Source organism: Homo sapiens, chromosome 8 (genome assembly GCF_000001405.40).
Source record: "Homo sapiens chromosome 8, GRCh38.p14 Primary Assembly".
NCBI lineage: Eukaryota > Metazoa > Chordata > Mammalia > Primates > Hominidae > Homo > Homo sapiens.
Genome location: NC_000008.11, coordinates 81,332,927 through 81,355,314, shown reverse-complemented (window position 1 = coordinate 81,355,314; position 22,388 = coordinate 81,332,927). Strand labels below are relative to the sequence as shown.

General features: G+C 38.5%; 1 long non-coding RNA gene across 4 annotated transcripts, besides 1 other annotated feature; it reads right to left on the bottom strand.

The window, feature by feature from the left end:
- Positions 1–2,207: 2,207 nt before the first annotated feature.
- LOC105375925 (uncharacterized) lies at positions 2,208–21,810 on the bottom strand. Of its 4 annotated transcripts, XR_001745978.3 has the most exons (5): positions 21,704–21,810; positions 17,834–18,099; positions 17,136–17,242; positions 5,434–5,559; positions 2,208–4,231 (listed from the first exon to the last, which is right to left on the bottom strand). It is a non-coding gene; the product is annotated as an uncharacterized LOC105375925 (long non-coding RNA). The 4 variants fall into 4 exon arrangements; XR_001745979.1 differs by lacking the exons at positions 2,208–4,231; positions 5,434–5,559 and having other exon boundaries at positions 16,758–17,242; positions 17,374–18,099; XR_001745977.1 differs by lacking the exons at positions 2,208–4,231; positions 5,434–5,559 and having other exon boundaries at positions 16,758–17,242.
- Positions 3,663–4,862: an enhancer, noted in NCBI's record as "CDK7 strongly-dependent group 2 enhancer chr8:82262688-82263887 (GRCh37/hg19 assembly coordinates)". NCBI's record gives its function as "activates an origin of replication core promoter dependent on BRD2, BRD4, P300/CBP, MED14 and CDK7 cofactors, with strong dependence on CDK7, by STARR-seq in HCT116 cells {active_cell/tissue: HCT116}" and the evidence as "EXISTENCE:reporter gene assay evidence [ECO:0000049][PMID:35650434]".
- Positions 21,811–22,388: the final 578 nt, after the last annotated feature.

Sequence of the window (22,388 nt, the reverse complement as noted above, 5' to 3'; positions counted from 1 at the left end):
TTCCTTTTTAGAACATCTACCTAGATTTTCTATCATCTGGATGAGTACACCATATTTTTCTAGAACATTATTTCTTTCATCCAGGTTTTCACAATTATTTTTGTAAAGTTAAACCAAAAAAAACTCCTGTTATTCTTTTTATTTCCTCTTTTTTTTGTATGAATGTACCTTAATATCTGTAGTCTGAGAATTTTATAAGCTCTTTTTCATGACCTGAAATGTTAAACTATTTGTTTTTATTTCCTATTTTAGAAAGAAAAATTTCCATTGTAATGTTAAGCTCTTCGGCTTTATTTAATTATTGCCACAAAACTCTGCACGATAGATTTATTTAGGCAAAAATTCTGTCCTCTTATGAATATTAAAGTCTACTTTAACCAGACTTAAATGAAATTCTTTCCTAGAAGGACATTTTGGTGATTATGTACTGAGTATTTTAACTGTTCAAATAAGGTCACAAGCCCCTGCCTGACCATCCCTCCCTGCAGGTGCATAAGACATAACACCTGCTATAAACAACACCTTAAGAAAGCTTAAAGGTTTTTATTTAATTTCAGAGACCACCAATGAAAGTCCATGAATTCAATCAACCTGCAAGTTGTTTACTTGAATGGAGGGTATTGGTACATAATTAAACATTCCATGGAACTTGGGATTCTGGATTAATCGCTCAGATTTATAATTCTCAGTGTTTACTTCATATACTTCAATAAACACATTCTTTGTATTTCCATGAGGCTTGTAGTTCTTAGAGACAGTAATAACCTAATTTATTTACTTGAAATGTTTATTTTCATTTACATAGGAAAGAAAGAATATGTTTCCCTACTTTAAGAACATAGAGGCAGCACGAGCTACTGCTTTCTTCTTGAGTCTTGTAAGGCTTGGCTATTTGTTTTCAAAAATGTTGTGACTGATAAGAAAACTGGGCTCAGAGAAGTATAGTGGCTTTTTCTGGGGCACATGGTTATTAATGGCTGAGCTGAGCCTAGAGTTGAAGTTTCTTAATTCCTTCCCCCTCAGATCTTACAGCTTAGTAGTGGAGACAAACACATCAGATGAATACTAGAAAATCAGCCATCATGCTTCATGACAAGATGAAAAAGGAGAACATGATCACTTTCAGACTAGGGAAATTCTGAAGACCTTGCAAGGCAGGTTAGATCTGAGCAGAGTTTTGAAGCTGGGCAGGCTTTGGGAGGAGAACAGAGGACACCCTGCCAGACGGGACCAGCAGAGCAAAGACCTGTGTTTCCCAGGGAAAACCCAGGAGCAAACCCAGGACTCATCCAGGAGCAGGATAGCAGATATGGTGACAGTAGGGGGTATGTGCCAGGAGTAGGGGTTAGAAAAGAGGGAAAGAGGTTCAAGAAAGATCATGGAGAGCTCTGAATTACAGGACGAAGAAATGAAATTTGTCTCTGTAATGGGAAGTTTTAGGGACGCTCCTCTTGGGAGATGAGCTGGAGGACTGGGTCTCAGTGGGTGGAAGGAGACTTACTGTATACACTTTGTACTACTTGAAGTACTTCCATGCACATTTATTACTTTGTAAAAAGAAAAAATAAAAATAAGTCGTTAAAACCACAGCAATGAAAAATTTATCTAAGCAGGAAACTGCCACAAAAGAAAAGGGCAGAATCCTGTGTTGATCAATGCCAGCAAGCTCCATGAAGCAATTCATGAAGCAATTCACCTCTAACACACTCTGGGTTGTATTTTCTCTCCTGGGTAAGAGACAAATGGAAGAGGAAGAAAATTAGCTCAGGAGAAACATCTCTGAGACCTGAAACAATCAATATGATTTGATAGTTTTCCTATCAGGCAATAATTTAAGCTCCAGAGAGAGAGAGAGGTTCAAAAATCTATGGTGTGCCATAACCCTATTAATAAATAATAAAGATAAAAAACAGCTGCTAGAACAGGGCCACAAAGGAGAATAAGTTTAGAGAACATTAAATGAACCCCTCTGCCAAGAAAGTTGTTTCTTATACTTTTGTGTGTAAAGTCAGTGAGTCAGCAAGTTATTCATTTTTGTTTGAAAAGTAGCTGAAGAACATAGCTAGTTCAGAGATCAGAAACCAAGGAATCCTGGAGGAGAAGCATCCTGCCGCTTAGGGGCCTTTACCCAAAGTAACCAGAAAAGCTCTGAATCCAAAATGCTTACAGTGAAACGTGCCCCCATGAAATCCAGCTAATAATAGAGATGTGGTTTAATTACTGTGATTTTAATTTGTGTGTAATGGACACAGTCAAGGAAACAATCAACACAGTAGAGAGACAACCTATGCAATGGGAGAAAACATTTGCAAACCATACATCTGATGAGGGTTCAACATCTCTAAGGAACTCAAACAACTCAATAGTTAGAAAACAAATAACCCAGGTTAAAAATGGGAAACAGATCTGAATAAACATTTCTCAAAAGAAGTCACACAAGTGGCCAACAGGCATATGAAAAATGCCCAATATTACTAATCATCAGAGAAAGCAAATTAAAACCACAATGAGATATCACCTCACACCTGATATAATAACTATTATCAAAAAGACAAAAGATAAATTTTGGTGAGGATGTGGAGAACAGAGAATTCTTGTACATTGTTAGTGTGAATGTCAATTAGTGCTGTACTTATGGGAAATAGCATAAAGGTTCCTCAAAAAATTAAAAATAGAACTACCACATGATCCAGCAATCCTACTTCTGGATACACATACAAAGGAAATGAAATCAGTATGTCAAAGAGATAGCTACACTCCCCTGTTCATTACAGCATTATTCACAATAGCCAAGATATGGACTCAAAATAAGTATCCATCAGTATAGGAATGGATAAAGAAAATATGGTATATATGCACAATGGAGTACTACTTGACCCTGAGAAAACGAAAATGTTGTCATTTGTGACAACATAGATAAATCTAGGAGATATTAAGTGAAATAAACCAGGTACAGAAAAATACTGCATGTTCTCACTTATACTTGGAATCTAAAAACGTTGAACTCATACAAGTAAGGAGTAAAATGGTAGTTACCAGGGAACTGGAGTCGAGGAGGCAATTGAGATGTTGGTCAAAGGACACAAAGTTTAAGTTAGATAGGAGGAATAAGTTAAATAGATTTATCGTAAAACATGGTGACTATAGTTAATATCAATATATTATAGTCTTGAAAATTGCCGAGAAATGTTAAGTATTCTCATTCCCTAAAAAATAAGTATGTTAATTAGCTCAATTTAGCCATTTTACAATGTATACGTATTCCAAAAGGATGTGTTGTATATGATCAGTAAAGATCATTTCTACTTGTCAATTAAAATTATTTTTCATTTGAAAAAAACAGATTTAGTTTTATGTCTGGAATTTTAATCTGTGTGTAATGGACAGACTGGATTTGAGTTATATCTGGGTTCTTGTGATGGTTTTGTGAAAACAGATACCAAGATAGAGTGAAATAGGCTGTGTACACCACTATTGCAAAAAACAATAACTCAACATTTCTTTGGAGTTAACAGCATGAAGATGGCCCTTCTGCATTGAATTAGTTCAATTGATACCAGCCTTCAGTTAAGTAAGAAAAGTTACTTTAAAAAACCAGCTGGCACTCATTTTTACAATTGTTTGTTCCATAGCATTTGTTGTTTAAATGAATTCAGCAAGCTGCCAGCCTGTTCCTTCATATTAATCCTTCCAAGTATTTGAGAGGTTGCCAGAGCATGTCCTGACATTACAAAATCATTAAGTAAAGCATTTTCAGTAACCAGTGTTGGAGAGGAGAGAAAAGGAAATGGGAAGGGAGGGAGGGGAGAGAATGGTAGGGAAGGAAGGGAGGAAGAAAAAGAGAGAGGAGAAAAAAATGGACTGAAAGAAAGAGAATGAATGAATCAACTACAAATCCTACAGAATCCCTTCTGTTCATGTCTTTTTGTTTGCTTCATTTTCCTGTCCCAATAACATTTGTTAAGAATGTGTTAATAAATTTTAAAGGCTATTATTTCTTAAGATAGCTTTATAATAATAACAACTCTTCCTAAAGCCTTCAATTTTAATTTAGGAATGTTGAGTAAAGATGGATGTCCACAGCAGCAAAATGGACACAGGTGCCCTATAAAAGAACCAGGAACCATCTCTTCAGTCACCAGGCTGAGTCACAGCTGCTCTTTGCTTAGCACGCTGATCAGGGGTACAAAGTGATGACTCTCTGGATGAACTTTTCAGGCAGAAGGTCATTCTGTGGGTGATGCAGAAATGACAAAAGGTCAGCAATTCTGTTAGCTTCGTGGTTAAGTTTTCCACGGTCTTGCTTGTTAAGTAGATTATAGTGCTTATTTTCTTCATTATCCAACTAAAGCATGGAAAACAAATGCTCCTTAATCAACAGAGACAGATGAAATATTTCCAAAACCTTTTTAGAAGAATATATTGAACAGAAGAAGCTAATGGAGAAACATGCAGGACTAAATACAACATGTGATTGGTAGCTTATAAATGCCCTGTCATCGCCCTGATTGCCAGATTAATGGGTTTCTCTTTAGATTTCACTGAAATAATTTTAGTTCCTGCCCACCAAGCTGTGAAAAGCTGAGAATATAAGAAATAAATATGTTTTTAAGCTGGTTTGATGTTAGTTCTCATATCTAATGTACGAGCACTCACATTTGCTCTTGGTAAACAAGCAGCAGCAGATAAACAATGGGTAGCAGTTTTCATAGTACTTCTGTGTTTCCAAGCTTGAGTTGTTTTGGAATTTTTGCGTTTATATTTAAGCAGTTAGACACATATATTTAAGTATCAACTGGCTTTTGCTTGCAGGAGTAAGACATGATATCCAAATGTCAATTTTACTCTCCAAATCATGTCATTTTTATGAGGAGATGATTCTTTCCCCTCATTTTAGGAGTTTAGGGATTTGTTTCAAGATTTAACTTAAAAATAATGTCAATAATTGATTATGAGAAAAATTATTAACAGTTGCAGCTCTTTGTGAGAATTTTACAAAAATCTTTTGTGTATAGTTGACTATTATTCAATAATGGCAAAAATAGAAATTATTTTCCCGAGAGGTTTATGACTAATTTTATAACAGTTCCTGGCTCACTTTCCTGTATTTCAGTAACCTCTTCTATAAAATAAAAATATTTGGATGGATAATTTTCAAGATTAATTTTGCTACTAAAATATCTTTCTAATGTTTATATGGTTTAAATAGACAATATGTATTTATTTATATTCTTCCTTAACCTACTGGCCTACTTTAAGTGGCAACTGAAGCAAGATTTCTCTTCAACATTTATGATGTTTCATAATCTCTTCTTCCTGTAATTATATTCCCACATTTTAAATGGCATTATCCATTTCCATCTCTTTGGCCATGAAGCATATATCCTGTTGATGATTCATAATTAGGCCAAACCATTGGTGAGTTTTCATTACCCAAAGTGTCTCTCTCCACTGAGGCAAGGTTTATTTACTCAGTTCTACTTTTGCCAAAGAAGAAACATTCACGCTTCAGAAGGTGCAGCGGAGGGCGTTCACAGTGTTCACAGCGATATGGGGACACTGTCATGTAAACACAGACAAAAACGTCTAAGAGTCAGCCTGAAAAGAATGTTTGCTGAGTGGTTACATTTGATAATTTGTTAAAAGTCAAATAATTAAGTAGATAATCACAGAATGAGTACAAAAGGAGTGAACACAACTATTCTGTAATAACAGTGAAACATTAAAAGGTAACCACCTCATTAAACCCCATTAAATGTACCCCCATGTAGTTCTCATTTCCACAGTCAGAGATCTCAGGCATCTTTTAGTTACTTCTTGATCAACATCAAGCCAGTTACATTAGAACTACAAGGCAGTGCTGAAGTTCAAAACAGGTAAATGTAGAGTAACTAAAAGACAGAATTGTGTTACAAAATTCATTCTAGGCCGGGCGCGGTGGCTCACGCCTGTAATCCCAGCACTTTGGGAGGCCAAGGCGGGGGTATCACGAGGTCAGGAGATGGAGACCATCCTGGCTAACACGGTGAAACCTCGTCTCTACTAAAAATACAAAAAATTAGCCAGGCATGTTAGCAGGCACCTGTAGTTCCAGCTACTCGGGAGGCTGAGGCAGGAGAATGGCGTGAACCTGGGAGGTGGAGGTTGCAGTGAGCCGAGATGTCACCACTGCACTCCCACCTGGGTGACAGAGTGAGACTCTGTCTCAAAAAAAAAAAAAAAAAATTCAGTCTAATACTTTGCTTCTAAGTTGTGGTATTGTGAATACCACAGTCTGTCTCCCGGTATTTGTTCTCCCTTTATTTCAGAGTAATTGAATTTCAATTTTTTAGCTGGGTAAATAGTTTTGTAAATCAAATCTCCATTTCCAGCCTGCCTTGCTGCTTGGTGTAATCATATGATTATGTTCTGGCCAATGAGATGTATGTAGAAATTTCCTCTGGCAGCTTCTTCAAAATTATTTATGAATGAGCTACGGCACCTGTGGCCACTCTTCATCTCTTCCTCCTTCCTTCTGCCTGGAACACAGATGTGATGACTATATCATGTGGATAAGGGCACACATGTGTGAAGGTAGCCTGGCGATGTGAGACAAGGCTGGGTCCCTGGGCCCACCATGGATCAGTCCTGCCATCTCCACACTGCCTTGCCCACCTCTGGACTTAACAAGAAAGCAATAAAATACTATCTTGTTTAAGTCATTGATATTCTAGAACTCTGTGATATGTAGTAAAACCCAGTCTCAACAAATATCACTGGCAAGTAAAAATATAAATGAAATTTTGTAAAAAGTTTATGTAAAGTCATGTGTGACACATCCAAAAATGGACTCTGAAAATAGCTAGAAAGAGTTCTAGTATGTTCCTAATCTGCAGGGTTGAGAGCCAGCAGCTCAACTCTGTCATCCACAAACCAATCCTGTGGTCTTAATTGGGGGATATAATCCTCTTCCGGATCATTACTGGTCTGACTTTCTATTTTAATTCCTATTAACTTCTGAGGACCTTATACAGAGCAGCCTAGTAGCTAAGCCTAATAACCCAGAGCTACCAAAATAACCGTAAATCATTCTAATCAAGACTTTTCCCAGATTACCTTGGAAAATGTCTCTTTTCCTGGCGATCCTACATATCAATAAAACATCTGTGAGAAACTGCTTCTCCTGGATATGGGGAGTAAAAATTTGACTGATGTATTTGATTGATTAAATCATTCCAATTCAGTGTCCTACTGACGATGTTAGCAGTAGATGTTCTGCTGTATTTTCAGAGGGGGTAAATATTCAAAGGTGATGGAATTTTCCACCACTTCTGTATCAGTTTGGATCTGTCCAAGTCTTACTGTTGGACATTGTTTTCCATTTCCTAAATGTCTCAGACATTTCCATTGTTTATATTGATTTGATTTCCTTTGTTCACCTAAGGGATTTTGAGAAAAATAAAAACAGTCCACAATAATTGAAAAGCTCACTTCCTCATAACTTCCTATCATTATCTCTCAGGTTGACAGAAAAGAGAAGCCTCCAAGAATATTTCAGGATATACTTTCTTCCCCTAGTTTTTTTCTTCTTGCACATGGAAGGCACCTTCCTAACTTAGTACTGTCTGTATAAATCACACTTCGTTCACTGGCATACAGTGAAGTAAGATGTTTTCTTATTTCCCCTTTCAGGTAACTGCATCTCATTTACTGCCTGGCAGTCCCTAATTATAGTATTTTTTTCATTTTTATCTTATACAGTAACGACATTGTCCATTTCCAGTGTCAAAAACTTACTTGTCTAACTTGGCATTAATTTATGATCTTAGTTCACAGTGTACCATACACAATCATTAGGAATCACAGTGAAATCACTAGGAATTCCAGTATGTCTTTGCTATTTTAGCCAATGTGTCTGTGTGTGTCCATGTTTCTTTGAAGGACTTCATGACCATCTTTTTCACTTTTAAGACAGAAAAGTGCATTCTATCCCTATGCATTCCAAGCTTTACAGATGAAAGCAAGTTTTGCAAATTTTCCACATTACATTGACTTATCTGAATGTTATTCCCAATAAGCCCTAGAAAATGCAGTTTCTAGTCTGCTTATCCTTAAATACCTACCAATGTATTTATAGATAATTGGCAAACCATTCATCAGGGGAATTGATCAATATAGGAAGCAAGAAAGAGATTGCTGTTCTTCTTTAATTTGCCTTTTTAATTTGCTCTTCTTTAATTTAGAGTAGCTTAAACAGTGACACTTGAAACACAGAAAGTTATCATAGATCTGCAAACAAAAATACACAGCACAGATGGTTGAGCAACAGCCCTAATCACACAATCTGTTTATCATACATATTATAATGCATATTCTTATTTTAGTAGTTTTTAGCTTTATTCTATTTTTGCCATTCATTTCAGGAGCTATCCCACATGTCACCTTCTACATGAAGAGTTCCCTCCGTTAAAGTGAAAAGACAGCCTACACAATAGGAAAAGACATTTGCAAATCATATATCCAATAAGTGATGTGAATTGGGTCATTCTTGTCACACCCAACTAAAACAGAGTCAAGAAGCCATTAGGAGAAGCACTCAGGGAATGTAACAGCACTTTGAGAATGTAATTTTCTGCAAGCCTGGATGCTGAAATTGCCTGCTGTAACCTGAAACCAGTTTTATCTCACGGCTGCTGAAACAACCTGCTGCAATTCTAAGACTGGTTTTACTGCCATAACTCACCAATGAGAGCTTGCCACCTCCCGAAAATTTGACTAATGCCAAAGAACTTTCTGGAAAAACAATACATAACATTTCTCTTTTTTATAAACTCCCAGTCTTCTCTTCATTCTTCGGATATACTGAAGACCATCCTATCTGTATGTATGTCCCTCATTGCAATTCTTGTATCCCAAATAAAATGTTAAATTCAGAAAGTCTTCTGTGTATTTTTATTTTGATTTCAACAGGTGTATGTATCTAAAATATTTAAGGACTCCTGCAAATCAATAATAAAAAGAAAAATAACACGATTTAAACATGGGCAAAGATTTGATAGGTATTTCCCCAAGGAAGATATACAAATGGCTAATGGGCATATGAAAAGACGCTCAACATCATTTGTTATTAGGCAAATCAAGTACACATGACTTCACATCAACTAGGGTGGCTAAAATCAACAATAGGGACAATAACAAGTATTAGAAAGGATGTGAGTCATTGGAACCCTCAAACATAGCTGGTGGGAATGTAAAATAGGGCAGTCACTTCAGAAAACAATTTTGCAGTTTCTCATGGAGTTAAACATAGAGTTGCCATATGACCCAACAATTCTAAGTATTACCCAAGAGACATGAAAATATATGTCCATATCAACCTGCACATGAATGTGTATAGCAGCATTATTTAGAATAGCCAAAAAAGTAGAAATGTCCATCAAATGATGAATGGATAAACAAATGTGGTATATTCATATAATGGAGTATTATTCAGCTATACAAAGGAACCAAGTACTGATACTGGCAACAACATGGGTGAACATTAAAAACATTATGCTAAGTAAAGAAAAGCCAGAAACAAACACATTTTGTGATTCAATTTTTATGAAATGTCCAGAATAGGCAAATCTATAGAGACAGAAAGTAGATTCGAGACAAAAAGTAGAAATCTAAAGAGACAAGAAGTAGAGACTGAAAGTAGGTTGCCAGAAACCTGGGAAGAGGGAAAAGGAGATGACTGCTAATGGGAACAGAGTTTCTTTTCAGGATTGTGATAATGTTCCAGTATCAGATAGTGGTGATGGTTGCACAATTTTGTGAATATATTGAAAACCCTGAGCTGTAAACTTTAAACTAAAAAATATATATTTAAAAATTTGTGGCTGGGTGTAATGGCTCATGCCTATAATCCCAGAACTTTGCATGGCTAAGGCGAGAAGATCACATAAGCCCAGGAGTTCAAGGCCAGCCTGAGCAACAAAGCAAGACCCCGTCTCTACAAAAAATTTAAAAATTAGCTGCGCATGGTGGCATGCACCTATAGTCCCAGTTACTCAGTAGGATTGCCACTTGAACCCAGGAATTCTAGGCTGTGTGAGCTATGATTGTACCACTGCCCCCTAGTCTGGGCAACAGAGCAAGACCCTGTCTCTAAAGAAAAAAAAAATTGCTATCTCACTAATTAGAGACATTCAATCTAAGATGGGTGTGAGATGAGGGATTGAAAGAGAAAAATAATCGGATAGATATGGTACCATGTCATCTGCAGCAAAAGGAAAAGGATATCTTCCCAGTTGCCTTTCCCTTCCTTCTCAAACCCTGTTCTTTCTCAGGCTGCAGTGGGAAATGGAAAGCAGTATATGAGGGGCAAGTGTGATCAAGTATACAGCAAACTGCATCTAATAACAGTATATTACACCTAGATCTGTCACTCCCAGGCTGCTCATGACAGTTATAGAAAGCAAGAGGAAAGGGAAGAGGGGAGGTATTTGCTACCTGGTATTAATAAATATCTAAGGCTCATACAACACGTCGTCCCATAGACGGCATTTCATCCCAGTTTACCCAAATAAAACTTTGCCAGAAGTCAGACAAAACCACTCCATGTGCTCTTGCTCTCATGACCCCTACAGCGGGATGCCTTGAACTAGACTTCAGCATACGCTCTTTTTGTTTTTGGAGATGGAGTCTCTCTCTGTCGCCCAGGCTGAAGTGCAGTAGCACGATCTTGGCTCACTGCAACCTCTGCCTGCTGGGTTCAAGTGATTCTCCTGCCTCAGCCTCCTGAATCACTGGGATTACAGGGGCCCACCACCATGCCCAGTTAATTTTTTGTATTTTTTAGTAGAGACGGGTTTTTGCCATGTTGGCCAGGCTGATCTTGAACTCCTGACCTCAGGTGATCCACCTGCCTTGGCCTCCCAAAGTGCCGGGATTACAGGCTTGAGCAACAGCACCCAGCCAGCATACGCTCTTGAGCTCTATGTTTTGAGGTTACAAGAGACCCTCTCTCTCTCCTGTCAGCTATTAAGGCCTGATTGACATTATTCCAGAGAGCAACTAGTTCTAGGATGCTTTTCTTCGTATCTAATAGACCTACGGGTCTTATAGGGAAAAAATGGAGAACAGGGAACAGCAGGCAGCTGACTGTGCTGAATGTAGAGCTGGAACCACAACCAGTAGTTACCAGTGTCTCACCCTCCTGCAGGAAGGATGCCTGAACCTGACCCACCACCTGCATAGTCTCTATAGCCACTCCTACCATCTGACCTGTAGACTGGAAATGGTTCCAGCCCACATGCTTTTGTCACAGATGCTGCCATATATGGACATGCTGAGCTCTTTCCATTTAGGTAGCAAAAAATGCTGATCTTAATTTTTATTGATCTAGGACAAGGAAAGTAATTTCCATCTTATATTTCACAGCTTGGAAACTTTACCAGACAGCCTGGTCTTTGAGACAAGCAGTCTTGACTCTGCTTCCCTTGGGCAACTTACATTATTAACCTCTTTGAACCTCAGATATCCCCTCTGTAAAATGATAATATCTAATTCAAAAAGTTGTTGTTTGGATTAAATGAAGACAACTACTGTAGAGTACCTAACGCATGTTCTAGCTCATCATCTACTTAGAATGAGTGTCGCCATTATTATTGATGTTCTTGTGTATTTATTTATTTATTTATTTAGAGACACAGTCTCACTCACTCTATTGCCCAGGCTGGAGTGCAGTGGCTCCATCTTGGCTCATTGCAACCTCCACCTCCTGGGCTCAAGCAATTCTCCTTCCTCAGCCTCCCAAGTAGCTGGAACTACAGGTTCGTGCCACTACTCCAGGCTGATTTTTTTGTATTTTTAGTAGAGATGAGGTTTCGCCATGTTGGCCAGGCTGGTCTTGAACTTCTGACCTCAGGTGATCTGCTTGTCTCAGCCTCTCAAAGTGCTGGGATTATAGGCATGAGCCACCATGCCTGGCCTTGTTTATTTTTAGCTGCAAAGTTTCCTAGAAGGAGGAAGGCCAATTCACTAAAAATCAATTCTTGAAATAATCAATTTACAGAATAACCAAAATTTACAAACTGCCATTGTTAGCAGTTTCTATAAACATATTTTATTTTTGATAACATGTAATCAAATACATTCTTTTGTATATTAGCTAAACTAAATTTAATTGGCTACCTTGATAAAATATTCCTAATAGAATGTTAAAATGGTGAGAAATCCTATATTCACTGAAAATGTCATTGTGAACCACTTTTTCCATCCAAAATTTTGGAATTCAGTATGTGACTATTGATTTTTTCATTTATGTATTTATTTATTTATTTTTGAGACGAAGTCTCACTCTGTCACCCAGGCTGGAGTGCAGTGGCACAATCTCTGCTCACTGCAACCTCTGCTTCCCGGGTTCAAGCGATTCTCTTGCTTCAGCCTCTTGAGTAGCTGGGACTACAGGCACGAGCCACCACACCTGGCTAATTTTTTGTATTTTTAGTAGAGATAGTGTTTCGCCATGTTATAATAAAACTATTTTTTCCAAAATGTAAACATACAGAGTATGCTGAAGTCTAGTTCAAGGCATCCCGCTGTAGGGGTCGTGAGAGCAAGAGCACATTTAGTATTATTTCATCAATTCTTCAAGTGGCATAGCAGCCTTAATTTACATTTTTAGCAAGAGATTTCTAATTTAACTAATTTAAATGTTAATATACAGATGATTCAAATTTCAATTAAAATTAAATTGAATGTTTATTAAATTAAAAATTTAAATTTAAAGAGCACATGACATAAATCAGAATTAACCAGGAGTCCTAATCAAAGATAAAATGCTGGCATTTTGGTTTCTAACAAATTCATAAACAGAAAGATGGGTAGCAGTTTGCAGAAAATTTCAACTTAAAAATATAACCCTGCTCAAATCAGTGGAAAGGAAGCAAGGATGTTTAGAAGGGAATACTTTAATGGATCAGATGTCTTGTACATCAAAATAATTTGATATATACTCAGAATCAATGTAAAATTGTAAAGGAAATATTAAAAAGCTAGTTAGAAGTCTGAAAAGTACTAAAATTAAGATCCTAAGTGTTAACAAACTGAAAATGATGTTTACAATTTTCAAACAAAAATCAGTATAAACTGAAAATTTTTCATTTGACATGCTACCTATTGTTTGGACAACTGTGTTCAGAAGAATATGTTTAATCATCATAATTATTATGGACATTTTTCTAAAAGTTGTTAGGCCATTCTTTTTAAAGCTGTTCATTTTCATCAGATTAATCTATGACCTTTGTAAGGGAAGGAAAATCCATGATTTAAAATGCCTTTGCCTTTTTCTTCCTGCACCAGTTGGAGAGAGATGAACTGCAAGCGCCATTCCAGGCTAAAATAACAGGAGGACCTCGTTCCAACCAAGACTGTCCAGATGCTGCTTGATTATAGGAAGTTCTACCCACTTCTCACCAGCCACCAAAACAGAATGACTTTTCATGCCTCATGTCTCTAGGCTCTGACTCTCTGGACTTCCACCTCTATTTCCAGGAAGTAGAACAAAGTTCCAGAAAAGAGAGCCAACTGCTGAGTTGAGCCTTGTCCAGTAATTACTCCTAATTTCCAGTTAGGAAATGAGGAAAAAACTTAATTCACCAAGTGATCGAAATGACCAAGAACCAAATTTACTGATTTACAAAACAAACAAACAAACAAACAAACAAAACATTAAAATGGTTTTAACAGCCTTAAAAGCAATGACTTAACAATGTTTAGAAAAATGTCCAAATACAGTTACTAATGATTAAATGTACTTCTCTGAGCTTAACGTAGTGTCCTTCCCATGAGAGGTATCTGTGGTGAGCGGACTTGGCCCACGGGTTCCACAGGTACAAGTAAAAGACAGAAGCTAAAACACAAGAATCAGAATGGCAGAATCCTGTCAAAGGGAGCACACAGAGGAGAAACTAGAGAGGTGTGGACAGAAGGAGCTAGGAAGGTGAGGAGGCATTAGGCAGTGACTCCGATTCTAATAAGGTCAGTCTAATAAGGTCACTAAATAAGATCAGAGAAGAGGATGAAACTGGATTTGTCAGTTGAATTCCACAGATTGGGTGAGCAAACACTCAGAACAGTGAGGAGATTGTTGCAGGGGATTTGGTTGAGTTAAAGGTAGGAGGGTAGAATTAATACACTCCTTCTTGCAGCCAGCAGTGACATTTTTCCTTCCATTCATTTACAGATTGGGCGGGCAGCCCTACTGGGATGTCATTTCCTCTTTATTGGGTGCCCTTGAAGGTCACCTAGATGAGAGGCAACAGAGAGGCACATGGGCTTTGGAACTGGGATCAGACTTTAGAAGGGACTCTCTGAAGTCAACTTACAGTCTGTGAGACATTGTAACATTTACTTCACCTGCCCAATGAGCATCTGAAATATGAGGATAATTATATCACCTTCATAGAGTTATTGAGCCCAGGACCTGGGATCAGAGATGCAAAGTGCTAGAAATATCTAGTGCTTGATGAACAGCAGATGCTAAATAATAATGATATCAGCCTCCCTTCCTATAGAAATTGTCCCCCTAAATGACTTTGCATCTTACCTTTGATATATCTGGCCTTTACACTTCCTTCAGGAAACCTGATCTCCCTAAACCAGGAAATGAAACATTGGAGATGAGCACTCAACATGTGATTGAGTGCCATGGGTTGCTGCCTGACTCATTTGTTCTTCATATATTCCATCACTGACTTTCTTAATGGCACACATATAAGATTAAACTTGTTTTATTCGTTAGAAAAATAAATTTCCTTACTTATTTTGATGACTTTATAAAAACTGGCTCATAGGTCACTTTTCATAATTGCTCCCATTTGGCTGCCGGTTTATAATTTATAATTACTAGCAATGGCAACTCTTACCTTTGGCAGCACATTAAAAAAAATAGCTGCCAAGTGCCCAGCCAGCTCTCTGCTAAGGCAGCTGCATTTCTGAAAGATACAGTGCCAGAGATCAAATGTTTTGATGACACCATTATAAATTTGGTAGCTAGTCTTCTAGGAGTTTCTAAGGAATTATTCTCTGAAAAGTCTCTGAAGTTTGTTTCCTTTGTGTCTTTTCAGCCTTTTAATTAGGCACTGAATTATCCTCTCTAGTCTAGAAATAGGGGACTCCCAGAGAAAGCACATTGGTCCTTATTGCATCTGTGCAGTATTTCCCAATCCGACATCAATATCCCTGTCCCTAACAGGCCCAAGGCAAATGGTGTTAAGTAATGTGTACCAAAGGCTGTGGCTGTGAGATTTCTCTTTAAGAATTTATATGCACTCTACTGGGGATTTCCCAATGGTTAATACCTCCATGCAGTGGGTCCCAAAACTAGTAAAATTATTGGGAACTTTTGCTTAGGGAATGAAAGGATCAAAATACTGGGAACTTAGAAATGGTTGTTTTTGAGATGACATGTAAACTGTTGAGAGAGAAGCCTTTTCATGCAGCAGAAGGAAACATTCAAAAAGCAGAGAAAGAGGGTGCCTTCTACCAGTGAGCAGGAGTTAGGAGAGGGTTAGGAGACAGGGCAGAGAGAACAAACAGCACATTACCAACGTGTACCCCTTCATGCTTCACTGTTGAGCATTCTCTGTCCCAGCATTTCTTTGTGTGTGTTTTTGTTGTTGGTGGTGTTTTTCTGTATCACCCTTCATGGAGTAATGTGGTTCCTCAACTTGAACATAAACCAAGTAGGGAGGAAAAGGAGCAGTAAAAGACCCACCCTTGTAGTTGTTCAAAGTGCTCTCATTTTCCAGAGTCAAGGAATGACATTTTCTGAATGTATAATCTTTTTTTTTTTTTTTTTTTTTTTTTTTTTTGAGACAGAGTCTCATTCTGTCTCCCAGGCTGGAGGGCAATGGCATGATCTCAGCTCACTGCAAACTCCACCTGCCAGGTTCAAGCAATTCTCACACCTCAGCCTCCCAAGTAGCTGGGATTACAGGGGTGCACCACCACACCCGGGTAATTTCTTTACAGATGGGGTTCCACCATGTTGGCCAGGCTAGTCTCAAACTCATCACTCATCAGGTGATCCACCCACATTGGCCTCCCAAAGTGCTGGGATTACAGGCATGAGCCACTGCCGCCTGGCCTGAAAGTATAATCTTTTGAGATTATGTCCATTTAACTGGTTTCCAGGAGGGAAATCGCTTCAGTAGTTTCAGTTCAGAGGTAAGCATAAAAGTAACTCAAATATTTGGAGTCTGGTTTTTTTCCTTTTTTCTTTTTTCTGAAATAAAGTCATCATATAAAGACAATAAAAAAATATATTGGAAAATTGGTGATACTCTAAGTATCTAACACCTCCTATCTAATAACTTGAAAGTGCTTCCTTTTGAATATCATAACATAAATGTATAACACTTTTCTGTTAGCCTAATAGAATACAGAGGCATTTCCAATTTAAAATGTAAGGTTGACGATTCGCAAGAAATACTCATTAAGTCTCACACTATCTCTTGTTTTCAGTATGATGAAACTTTCCTCTTTGGACTTGCATAAGATCACCAAGGGACCCTTGAGTAGAGGAAGAAAATGTGGTTTTGGTTTATGAACACTTAACCATATAATGCCCTCCCTAATCAGTGTAGCTGTGGCGTTCCCCCCACACCCTCTCCACATGTAAGTTATTTGGCAAACTCCCTGCTAATTGAATTGATAGCTAAATAAGATTCAGACCTTGAAATCTAGAAAAGCCAGACACTATTTTAGCATACACTGCACAGGACTAAAAATATCTCAAGCTGTTATATTTGCATGACCATGAAATTGAATAAAGGAAGATCAAGATCTAGATATATGAGCATGTTTAAATATTATCCTTTAAGTTATTTGCTTAGTTTCTAAGGCATGTTAGTCTCCCTCTGTTTTATCTGTAGTTGTGGGAGGTCTAAATGCAGAGCCAACAGGGAGCACTTTGTGAAGCTCAGCTCTGTAGTGTCAGCAATGAGGGAGTGTTCGTGGGCCTCCTGGCCCTGACTTGGTAGGCAGAGCTGGAGTGCAGTCAGAACTGGTTTCTTTTGCATCTGGCCATTTCTCAGTCTCGCTATTGGCCTACAGAACAACTTTCTGCTGCGGTGGGACAAGCCTGTGTCTTGTTGGCTGGGCAGTACCTGGTGTCGAGAATCTTCCATTCACCATCCAACTTGGTCATCATCACACCACTTCTACTATCTGACACGGCAGGCAGGCAGGCAGCTGTGAACACCTCAGCAGATTCCTGGAAGAAACAAATAAGATTATAGGATTGCAAATGATTTGGCTTTATAGCTCTCAAGTCTATCCAAAACCTGCTAAAGGCCATAGTATTTGCAAACATTCAGGGAAAAAGAGAGAAAAAGAGCAAATTACCTTCCCTTTAGAGGAGGAGAGAAAACATTTGCTCAGTTGCAAAGATAATTAAGAAAGTAGCCAAAACTCTTGGGAGCTGACGCTTTTTGACATAGAGAGTTTCCAAAAACAAAGTGTTACTGATGGCAAGATTAATTTCTTCTTGCATCCCTGTGCATACTTGATGCGGAGTATTTCCAGGGTAAGGCCTGAGGCACTCAGAAGCTAAAGCTCGCCAAAGGATAATTTAATATATCCCGCCTCTCCTCTCCTGACTCTCTCCAGACATTGAAAAGAAAAAAAATGCAGGTTTTTTTCATCCATTACCAGCTGCAGAAGATGCATGTTTGTTATTTGAGGCAGCTGTGTCTTCCCCCTTTAAATCAATGGAAATCTAATGCCATGCAGTGCATGCCAGGTGGAGAAAAATTCATCTCTTGGCATGAATGTCTTGCATCACATAACCCAAAAGAGTGCTGACCTGGGTCCAAGGAAAAAGTAATCCTTCTTCTAGTCAAGTGAGGATACCCATAGAGTCTTTTGCCAACATAATACTTCAACTCTCCCCCAAGTCCTGAGTGCCCTGGCTCTCTCTAGCCAGCTTTTAGTGGTCAGCTTCCACCTGTCTGTTTCTGGGAGGAGTCCTGTGCGTGCTGGGAACGTTCACCGGTGACTTGGTACGGCCCTTCCTCCTTCCTTCTTCCGCCTCCTCTTCCTCCACTCTTCCTCCCACGGACGGCTCCAGAACTGCAGAACAGTTGATCACAATATTGCTGTTACCACACAGCAAATATTTCGGATAGTTTTTAGTTAGGAATAAAAAAGATCCTGGTTTGTGAGGAGTCAAAGGCAAATTTTTGCATCATCTCAAATTATGGAAATTATTTCCATAATGTCGCCAAAGTGGCGACACCCAGACTCTAGAATCAGCCTGAGTCCAAATTTTCCCCTCATTGTAAGATACCCTGAGAAATTCATGGAACCTTCCATAGCCTCAGCTTCCTCATGAGTAAAATAAGAATCATTCAGAAATTAAATAAGATAATCCATATAAAGAACTTATGTTCCTGGCACATAATAATTGTTTAATAAATATTGTGTTTTTATTAAATTATAATATTCTCTAATTCTAATAATACCTCTTTACCATTGATATCATACTTAAAGGGTACAAAAATTATTAACAAAAGCAAAATCCTCAATAAGTCTTGGAAAATTAAGATTGAAATGAAAGAAATTAAACCTTTAAATAAAATAAGTGTGTTGAATAACATGTCACAGTCAACACTCTCCTAGAAAAAGACTTTATACTTTGTAGTAAACATGAAACTAGGAAATTAGCAGAGTTAATAAAGATCAGACTTCAGGACATAATATCTGCAGCCTTGGCATTCTCATTTGAGGGTCATAAACTCACTGACCTTCTCACAAACTGAATTGCTCCTACATGTGATGCAGTGTTGAACATGCTTATTGGTCCCCAGACAAAGGGAAACTAAAAAGCATGACTCTTGACCAATAAGAAGCATCCTCCCTTTTATAATTTGAATTGTGTCCTCCAAATGGATATGTTTAAAGCCTAACCCTCAGTATCTTAGAATGTGACCTTACCTGCTAATAGGGTCTTTAAAGGTAATCAAATGAAAATGAGGTCGTTAGGATTGGGCCTTAATCCAGTATGACTGGTGTACTTATACAAAAGGGAAACCTGGACACAGAGACACAGGCAGGGAGGACAGCATGTGAGCATGAAAGCAGAGATTGGGGTGATGCACCTACAGGCCAAGGAACACCAAAGATTGCCGGCAAACCACCAGAAGCCAGGAGAGAGGCATGGAGCAGACTCTCCCTCAGAGCCCTCAGAAGGCGCCAGTCCTGCTGACACCGTGATCTTGGAATTCAGCCTCCAGAATTGCAAGACAATAAAGATCTTTTTAAGCCAATCAGTGTATGGCCCTTTGTTATGGCAGCCCTAGTAACTAATGCACTCCCTTAAAATTCTACTTGTTTTTCTAACTATTCCAGCTGCTACACGGGGCCACAGCCTCCACTTCTCTGTTTGCTATTGTGTTGGTGATTGCTATTTTATGTCCTCTTAGATGCCCTTTAGCTTTTCTGTTGTTATTGTTCCATTTTTTTCACCCTGTTGAGTATTTAGAATAATTGGCATGTCTTAATTTGTGTCTTACTAGTTAAGGTTGAGAATCAACTCAGTCGGGAAACCAAGTGTTGGGCCTGGTTTAAAGTAACACAGCTCCATGCAACCACAAGGGCTGTAAAGCCACCAGGAACTAACAGATTGGTTCAACCCTGAATGTCTTCAGAATCTCAGACTTTCACATTGATCATGATTCCAGCTGCTAACATGATCACCTATTTGGTTTTTCTCCAGTGTGTGGACGAGTATTATAGAAGAGGTTTGCCATGTTTTTCAGCTCTCTGTCATCCAACAACTCACTACAATGAGCACCCTAATTTTCCTTTGAGGGAAGTCCTTCACTATAACATCCCTTTTGAGATGTTCTCTAATCCTGACTGCCCCCTCCCAGGAATGAAGGGACCTAATTCTTACCTAGCCTTTTAGTATAGCCAGGGAGTAGCACAAAAGGAAAACTCAGCCCGTCAGGACTCCTTCCTGGAAATTTGAATCCTGAGCAAGGAAAACATATTTTTTGGATTTCAGACTCATCCCAGCAACTCCACAAAGACCAGATGGCTTCTGCATCATCATTTCTGATGCCAAGCCTCTGCAGCTGCCTGGTAACTGCCACTTTTCCAAGACATGTGCTTCAGCCTCTTGTTAATACTTGAGCCCCTGGTATGCTTCCAGCGTATTCCGACTTCCCTCCCTGCTGCCCCCCTTCCTCTCTCCTGTCCTCCCTCTTTCTCTCTGTTTCTCTTATTTTTCTCTTTCTTTTTTTCTTTCTTTCCTTGTTTTTTTTCTTGATTTCTCTCTCTCTCTTTCTCTCTCTCTCTTTACTTGTCTTAGGTTGACCCAGTTGGTCTCTGTAGCTTGCAACCAAGTAATCTGACAGATTCAAGGGCTACTGAAGATAGAATGCTGGACTAGGGCAGAGCTTCACCTCCTGTGAGCAATGAAGTATTAGGAAAATCTCTTGGCCACTTTGAGTTTGTTTGCTCATGCAGAATGTGAGAGGTAAACAAGTCTTTACCTCTGAGACTTGTGCGACCAGTGAAAAAGCTCTTTGTTACTGTTAAGCATGATGCAAATGCAATGGGATAATGATGATACTGAAGATAGTGATGATAGGCCATTTGAGTCTCATAAGAATAATATGCAGGGAAAAGATACAGAGGTGAAATGGAAGGTAGAATACTTAGCTTTTTAAAATTACACAATAGAAGTTGGGTGTGGTGGCTCACACCTATAATCCTAACACTTTGGGAGGTGAAAGAGGGCAGATCTCTTGACCCCAGGAGTTTGAGACCAGCCTGGACAACATGGTGAAACCCTGCCTGCCTCTACTAAAAAAATACAAAAAATTAGCCAGCTAGCATGTGCCTGTAATCCCAGCTTAGTTTGAGACCAGCCTGGACAACATGGTGAAACCCTGCCTGCCTCTACTAAAAAAAATACAAAAAATTAGCCAGCCAGCATGTGCCTGTAATCCCAGCTACCCAGGATGCTAAGGTGGGAGAATCACCTGAACCCAGGAAGTCAAGGCTGCAGTGAGCCATGATCGCACTACTGCACTCCAGCCTGGGCAATGGGAGTGAGACCCTGTCTCAAAAAAAAAAACAACATAATTTATTTCCTCCGAGTATTGGAATAAAATAATTGAAAAATATATGTTAATGCACAAAGAAAGAGAAGAATTCCTTAAAAGTTGTATTCAGTATTATATAAATAACACCCCTCTTGGTTTACTTGTTTTGTAAATGTGGATTTCTTCATTTCCGGTTTTCTTAAAGAAAATTCTATCTGTATGTGTTACAACTAAACTTGTGAGCCTACTCATACCAGACTGTACAATAATACCCCCAAAATACAATGTCTGTAATATCTTTTGTTCATACCTTACTGTTTTTAGCTATTTTTTTTCCAATAAACATTTTTATTGAATTATACACTCAGAAAAGTATACAAATCATAAAAGTACATTTCATTGGATTATCACAAAGGGAACACATCCATATAAATATCAACTAAGTCAAGAAATTAAACATCATTAGGAAACACCTGACTGGGTGTGGTGGCTCATGCCTGTAATCCCAGCACTTTAGGAGGCAGAGGTAGGCAGATTGCTTGAGCCCAGGAGTTCAAGACCAGCCTGGGCAACATGGCAAAACCCCATCTCTACAAAAATTAGCTGGGCATGGTGGCACTCACCTGTAGTTCCAGCTATTCAGGAGGCTAAGGTGGGAGAATCGTCTGGGCCTGGGCAGTCAAGCCTGCAGTGATCTGTGACTGTGCCACTGCAATGCAGCCTTGGTGAAAGACCGAGACCCTGTCTCAAAACAAAAAATAATAAATAAAATACCCCAACACTAGGAAACACCAGAAAACAACGTCATGTCTCTTTCAAGCCATATCCCCTCCACCCTCAAAAAATATTAACTGCCCTGAATTTTAACACCACAGAATAATTTTTCTGGTTTTTGAATTTTATATAAATGAAATTATAAACCATGTAATACTCTGTATATGAGTTATATGACTCAACATTATGTTCCTGAGATTCATCCAGATTGTTGAGTATAGAGGTGTCATCCTCATTGTTGTGCATTATTCCATTGTATAAATACACCACAATTTGTTTATTCATTCAATTCTTTACAGTTTGAAATGTTTCCAGTTAGAGGCTATTACAAATGACATTGCCCTGAACATTCTTGAATGTCTTTCAGCATGCATATAAATTTATGTTGGATATTTGCCTAGGAATGTAATTGCTGGGTCATAGAGTATGAACTTGTTCAAATTTTATAGATGCAGAACGGTTTTCCCAAGGAGATTGTAAATCACAAATAGTGGTCTGCATCCTTGTCAACACTTGGCATTATCAGTTATTTTA